The following is a 6,920-nucleotide window of genomic DNA, read 5'->3' as shown; positions in this document are numbered from 1 at the left end:
CCCTATGAGGAGGAGTTTGTTGTATCTTCATGTTGCTAATGAGGAAACTGAGGCACAGTGAAGTGAATCAGCAGGACAGAAGTGGCAGAGCAGGGGCTTACACCAAGTCTTCTGACTCCAAAATCAGTGCTCTCAGTCTCCACAGCCTTTTTCTGGGACCAGAATATTCTTGTCTGCCCTACAGGGCTCTGTCTGGTACCAGGATGCCCGTTTGGTTTCAATGAAAGCCCAGCAGGGCAGTGAACCACCTGGAGTTCACCAGGGCCCTCGCTGCTCCTCAGTAGAGACCAGAGCCTCCTGAGCCTGGAATCCCTGTGTCTACTGGTGCCTTCCTTGTCTCTCCCTCTGAAACAGCTAGATGAATTCTCCCTTGCACCCCGTTTTCTGTGCAGCCTTCTGTTCCCTTCAGATAGAGCACAATGCAATTGATTAGGCTTCTGCTTTCTCAATTTCAATCACATCCTCGCCCTGCCTCCCTGAGATTACAGGCGGGTCACCTTGATTGCGGTTTGCACCGTTCACAAAACTCTTCAGTCGTTTACAAAACCATCTCTCGCCTCATTCACTCCCCCACCTGGCTCTTCTCCTCCGTGATGCGTGGATTTTACTGGTTTAAGACTCAGAGGGCAATTTTATTTCCAAGTTCATGGTGGGGGAGGAGGACACCTAATTGACTAATGCGGGTATTTTGCATGCATCATCTAATTTGATCTTCACCACAAGGCAGCGCAGATGTGTGATTATCCCCATTTTACAAAAGAGGAAACAAGACTCTGAGAGGCTACAACACTGGCTCAAGGTCATACAGGTGGATGGTACAGCCAGGATTTGAACTCAAAGTCTCATGTGTTCCCCGGGTCACATTTCTTTATTTGAAGGAGCAGCATGGGAAAGTGTCATATTGACCCAGAGTCAGGTCCAGGAAGGGCCTGGTGCACGTAGGGCTCAGGGGTAGCTCCCTACATGCTGAGGATTGTACTCGTAAAAGAACTAAGTCATTTATTAATTTCACACACATCTACTGATGTCTCCTGTAGGCTGGTCCTGTCTAGGAGGCAAAACAGTAAACAATGACAACACTTAGGGGCAAGGTCAGTCTGGGAGCCAAGTCTGGGGGATTTCTTGGAGTCTGTGAAATAAAAGTCTGCCTGATGAAGCAGCCAGAGGGTGAGGTCATCTCCAGCAGAGGGAACAGCATGTGCAAAGGCCCAGACGTATGGTAGAGTAAGGCCCATTCAGGCCAGGCAAGTGCCAATAATTAGGCATGGGAGGGCTGAGGGTGCAGATGAGGCATGGAAGACGAGGGATGGAGAGTCAGAGGCAAGAAGTAGGAGGGGGAAAGCCAAGGGGTATGGGCTCTGAGTTGTGGGGAAAAGAAAGAAGAAATCTGGGGGACCCAGGACTTATTGTGGGGAATGGAGTCTACTCTGGATCCCACTGCTCCGGGACTGAGCTGAGTGGATCCTCTCTCCACTCCACCAGGTACAGTATCGAAGACACACACACACACACACACACACACACACACACACACACACCCCAGGTACAGTATCGAAGACACACACACACACACATACCCCAGGTACAGTATTGAAGACACACACACACACACACACACACACCCCAGGTACAGTATCGAAGACACACACACACACACACACACACACACACACACACACACACGAGCCTGGATGGTCCTGCAGTGATGTTCACACTCTCTCTAGTGGTGACTCTGAGTACTACATCCAAAACTGCAAGAAACTTTCCCCCCTCCCGGGATGGGAGAACCAGGTCTCTTCAGAAACTTCCCACCACAGGACAGGAGATATGGCACAGTTCCTGCTCTCAAAGAGGTCACAGTTTAATGGTGATGGGTGCTAACAGGACAGATGCGGGCAGAAAATGACAATAAAGCTATGTGGGAGAACAGGGGAGAGTCCTAACTCAACTGGGCAGGGGGAAGTCTGGGAGGCTTCTCAGAGGAGGTGTTGATTCATCAGAAACAAGAGTAAGAGTTTGCTTGGTAAAGAAAGAAGCAACAGAAGGACATTCCAGACTGGACAGAATTAAGTGAGCTCAAAGGCAAGAAATGAGACTGCTCAGGGAGTTACAATTAGGTAGGTGTGCTAGGAATGTGAAATTTCAGAGGGGTTAGTGGCTAAAGATGAAGATGGCAAAGGCAGGCATGGGTCTTGTCTACCATGCACTCAAGCTGGGATCCTAAGCCTTGGACAATGGGGAGCCACTGAAGGGTTTTGAGCAGGTCAGATTCACTTTTTTTTTTTTTTTTAGACGGAGTCTCACTGTTGCCCAGGCTGGAGTGCAGTGGTGCCATCTCAGCTCACTGCAACCTCTGCCTCCCGGGTTCAAGTGATTCTCCTGCCTCAGCCTCCCAAGTAGCTGGGACTACAGGCGGGAGCCACCACGCCTGGCTTATTTTTGTATTTTTAGTAGACACGGGGTTTTGCCATATTGGCCAGGGTTATCTCGAACTCCTGACCTCAAGTGATCCGCCCGCCTCGGCCTCCCAAACTGCTGGGATTACAGGCATGAGCCACTGCGCCCAGCCAGATTCACTTTCAGAAGGAACTCTTTGGTGACAATGGAGAGGAAAGATAGGAGGCGAAGAGGCAGGAGACGGACACCCCTCTGGGACACAAAGAACCATACCAGGTCACACTCATAGGACACACAGCTTTGACCGCGCCTATGAACCAGACATAGCGATACAAGTAATGGCACCTACAGACGTGTCAGTGGGATCCCAGGCTGAGCACCCACAGACAAACATGCACTGCTTCACACTCAGACACAGAAGTCAGGCCTGCAAGCGAAAGCAAACCGAGGACACAGGGTTACCCCCCAGACACAGGCGCACAGCGGGAATCACACAACCCTGACGGCCACAGGAATTCACACACACTCAGTGTGGCTGTCAAGGGCCCGACCCTGCTCCCCCTCTGTCTCCCCCAGGTCCCTCACCACCTCCGGCAGGAACAAAGCTGACCTTTGCCCTCTGGCCTCTGGCCTCTCCTCCCACACCCCCTGCCCCAGAGGGAGGAGCTGTTTGAAGTCTGGGCTGCAGCTGGGGTTTCCTGTGGCCTAGAGGAATGTGGGAGGACTTGCACGGGGGAGGGGAAAGGGGCTGGCCCAGGAGGAGGGCTAACAGAGCCTGGGGGCCTTAGTCCCCACTGTACCACAATGAGGGAGGCTTCCTGCTTGCGTGGTCTCTTGGGCTCCAGCTTTGAGCTGTTCCCATCCAAAGAAGGGGAAAACCAGGGCCATAATGGCTCCAGTCCAATGGGCCTCTTGTTCCTGGATCTGCAGCTCAATAGCTTAGGATAGGCCCGCAACCTCTCTAAGCCTCCGTCTCCCCTTCTGCATACTGGGCTGAACCACCCTCTAGCAGTCCACACCTCTCCTGAGCAGCCCCAGGAGTAGGGCCACCCCCAGAACTTCCATATTCAGGGAGGGCCGTGCTAGTCCCTACCCAAGACTCACTTCATCCTGCCCTTTCCATGAGGTCTGGGGGCCTGGCTCCAGGCTGCTGGGACCTGTCAGTTATTGTCATTATTAGTGTGACTCATCATCTCTCTCACCATGCCCTTGCCAGTTTTCACAGTGCTTTTACATCTATATGCTCAGTTAATCTTCTCAACAGCTCTGCTTCTATTTTACACATGGGAAAACTGAGACTCACACAGATTGAGGACACACAAGTAAAATCAAGATCAGGACCAGGCCTGTCTAGCTCCTGCTCCACATGGCCTCTCAAACCCAAGGCCCCATTCCAGACTCTCATCTTTATTTTCCAGGGTCTAGCTACACCACCTTCTGCTTACACCGAAACAAAAGCGGCTGGAGGGAGCTGAGCCCAGAGAGGGATGATGCAGGCTCTTCCAGAACCTGTGTCCTCTGCCTCAAGCCTTCTTTCCCTCCTGCTCGCTGACAACTGCTGAAGCAGAAACGAAGATTAGACACTAGGTGGCAGCAGCAGCCCACGGGAAGACAACTTGAGTTTGGGGAGACCACCCCCCGCCAAACTCAACACAATTTGGAGAGGCTCCACGAAAAAGACCAGCCCCCAAATAACAGGGAGACTCTGCAATGCTTGGTTTCCAGTGATGATCAACACTTTAAGGGCCAATGGAATTCACCCTCACAGGGGAAGGGGACCGCTGAAGTAGCCTGGGGTGGGAGGGGCATGCTCGAGAAACCCTACCTAACTTCTATTTCCCTCTAACTCATAGAGCCATGGGCCCTACTAATCTTGCCCTCTGCATCTCATTACTTAACCTCCCCCTCCCATGCTTTTCCCAAACTCCCCTTCATCTCAACCTACTGGGGCTCTCCACACCCCAGAAACCATCCTATATTATCCCACCCAACTCCCTCCTAAAACTTGATTCAAACTGAGTAGAGTCTTCATGACTACAGGCAGAATCTAATGGGTAATGGGGGAAGGGAGAGAAAGGAGGAGGAACCTGGGTCTCTTTCACCCTCCCCAACGCCGAAGTCTGTCTGTCCTATAGGGGGCCAGCTAGGGCAAGGTGCCAAAGCCTCATCTATTTGGGATCACTTCAGGCCCAGGCTTTGGAGCTGCAGAATCTCTAATGACTTTAGCCACTACTTTTATGAGCATCTGACCTTATATTTCCCATTCAATGAATAAATCTTTGAACCCAAGTCCTAACTTGTCTGCAAGGAGAAGCTGCTCCAAGATGAGGGCCTCTCCAGTCGGTCATGGCAGCCCCATGATGCCAAATCAATAGTGTCCCGTTTAGAGCCCTAGACCTCTCCTATTACTGCTGCACACACCCTCTGCCAAGGGCCAATAGAGAGTGTTCCCCAGATCCCCTCTCTTGTCCTCTGGGGGTACTGGACTGCCATAGAGAAGGAGCTTGGAAGGAGTGAAGGTGTGGGGAAGATAGTGACCAGGGAGTTGCGGTTGGCAAAATGTCACCAGCTGCCTTTGTCACACACTGGCCAACACCCTGCAAGGCCAAAGGAAGAGTCAGAAACAGGTAGGCCAGAGACAAAGGCACTGCTCTAGGAACTTCAGACCTGGAGCAAGATAGACAAGGCCAGCAGACACAGGGTGTGGAACATCAGACACACAGATGAGGTGGTCCAGTGAGGTGGGACCGCCGCAGGGCCAGTCAGGGCCGGCGTTGGTAGACACCTAGGACACAGGACACGACAGCCACTATGCATTATTCATCTCCGTGTCCCTTGCAAGCCCTGCATACCTCAGTTAACATTTGTTGAAGTGCCAAGAAAGGACACACAGACACAGGGAGAGAAGGTCAGTTACAGAAATGGAGGGAGTCACAACTCCTTGTCATAGCCCAGGGGTTAAGCTTGTGGGGTTTGGAGTTAGTCAGACCCTGGTTCAAATCCAGCTGGGTTCAGCCACTTGCTAACTGGAGAACCTGGACCTCAGTGCCCCCATCTCTAAAATGGAAATAACAGCACTATTTTACCGCAGCAGTTCAGCCATCTCCGGGGGCGGTAACAAGGCCCCCAAGCAGCGCACATTCCCATCTGTGGGATAGGCTAGGCAGGGGCTGGAGAACACATGTGACCTGAAGAGGAGGTAGGTGAAAGTGCTGAGCCCAGCCCCCGGCCGCGGCAGGAGGTCAGCACCGTTCAATCTGAATCCTGCTTCCTGACACAACGCAAATGCTCAGCAGAATTCGGAAAAGGGTGTGTGTGTTCTATCTGCGGATTATCCAGGACTTTTGAGCCCTCGCCGCCCTTGGACATATAGGAAAGCTGGGAGTTGCAAGGGCGAAACCGAGGTCGGAGTTTGAGAGGAGGGGTCACTGAGTGAGGAAGCAGCGCTGGCTGGGTCTCCCCCGCTCCCCCGCCCCAGCAGCCCTCCCGCCATATATACTTGAGCTTTACTCAATAAGAAACCTTTTCAGAAAAGGATAACGTCCCCAGATTGAGAGAGCCGGTCCTCTCCTCTGCCCTCTCCCCCTCCCATTTAATTGGGACGCCCCAGAAAGTCGCAGCCCCTTTGGCTAATCCCCTGGTTCCCTATTCCACTCCCATTCCACTCTCAGACCCCGCCCCTTCACTCCCACCCGCAACCTCCGCTCGATCCAGAGCCCCCCGGTGGAGACAAGGAACACAGGGACCATTCTTAACCCTTGGGGAGGATCTTCGCCCGTTGGTAAACGAGGACGCGCTCCAGCCAGACGAGCCCCAGGCGCGGGGTCCCCGGGGCTCCTGGCCGCGCCGTCGGAGCAGCCGGCGCGGCCCCGCCCTCCCCGCGCGCGGAGCGGCCGGGGCGGGGACTACAAGTCCCGGCGTGCCGCGCGCGCGCTCCCCCCTGGGGTTCCGGATGGTGAGCGGCGAAGGTAAGGCGAGCTCGCAGAGGCAGCGGCGGCGGCGGCGGAGACGGAGAGAGGCAGGCAGGCAGGGCGAGGGCGAGAGACGGAGGGAGGGAGCGAGCGAGGCGGACCAGACAGACAGACAGGCGGGCGGGCGGGCAGAGCGAGCCACCCGCCAGGCTGCGCTCAGCCCCGCTCGCAGCGGAGAGAGCAGAAGGCAGGAGGAGGGAGGGGAGGAGGGGGAGGGAGGGAGAGAGGGAATCCAGCTACCACCACCCAAAGCCAGCGTCTGCTTTCTGTCCTCATTTCCTTTTCCCACCCAGCTTGGAGAGCAGAGAAAGGCAGAGAGAGCGAGAAATAGAGACAGTCTGAGAGACAGACAGACAGCCAGAGAGAGCGGGAGGGAGGAGGGCGGAGGAGGAGGAGCAGGAGGACTACGCGGGGCGCGTTCCCTCCCAGGTTTGCTATTGGGGGGGGTGGGGGCGGGGGTGTCCAGGGCTGGGAGAGTGTGTGCGCGGCGGGAGGGCGAGGGGGGCGCAGAGAGAGCGAAGGAGTGATCGAGGTGGGGGGGCGCCGCGGGAG

General features: G+C 54.7%; 1 protein-coding gene across 19 annotated transcripts in view, besides 4 other annotated features; it reads left to right on the top strand.

Moving 5' to 3' along the window:
• Positions 3,073–3,921: an enhancer, noted in NCBI's record as "H3K27ac-H3K4me1 hESC enhancer chr1:27933115-27933963 (GRCh37/hg19 assembly coordinates)". NCBI's record gives its function as "activates a minimal SCP1, AML or CMV promoter by ChIP-STARR-seq in primed H9 embryonic stem cells {active_cell/tissue: H9 hESC(primed)}" and the evidence as "EXISTENCE:reporter gene assay evidence [ECO:0000049][PMID:30033119]".
• Positions 3,073–4,107: a biological region, named in NCBI's record as "Sharpr-MPRA regulatory region 12291".
• Positions 3,813–4,107: an enhancer, noted in NCBI's record as "tiled region #12291; K562 Activating DNase matched - State 5:Enh, and HepG2 Activating DNase unmatched - State 4:PromP". NCBI's record gives its function as "activates a minimal TATA promoter and a strong SV40 promoter by Sharpr-MPRA in K562 cells, with weaker activity in HepG2 cells {active_cell/tissue: K562 | HepG2}" and the evidence as "EXISTENCE:reporter gene assay evidence [ECO:0000049][PMID:27701403]".
• Positions 6,037–6,576: a silencer, noted in NCBI's record as "silent region_524". NCBI's record gives its function as "represses an Ori minimal core promoter by ATAC-STARR-seq in GM12878 lymphoblastoid cells {active_cell/tissue: GM12878}" and the evidence as "EXISTENCE:reporter gene assay evidence [ECO:0000049][PMID:35858748]".
• Positions 6,298–6,920, top strand: part of AHDC1 (AT-hook DNA binding motif containing 1) — a 69,983-nt gene continuing 69,360 nt past the window's right edge. For 8 of the 19 annotated variants that reach the window (XM_047418018.1, XM_005245851.4, XM_047418012.1 and 5 more), the window contains exon 1: positions 6,662–6,797. The gene's annotated coding sequence lies outside the window, so the exon portion shown is untranslated. The other 11 variants (XM_047418017.1, XM_011541255.2, NM_001371928.1 and 8 more) reach the window with 10 other exon arrangements.

This window comes from Homo sapiens, chromosome 1, assembly GCF_000001405.40.
Source record: "Homo sapiens chromosome 1, GRCh38.p14 Primary Assembly".
Lineage (NCBI taxonomy): Eukaryota > Metazoa > Chordata > Mammalia > Primates > Hominidae > Homo > Homo sapiens.
This window is presented reverse-complemented; position numbering and strand designations above follow the sequence as displayed.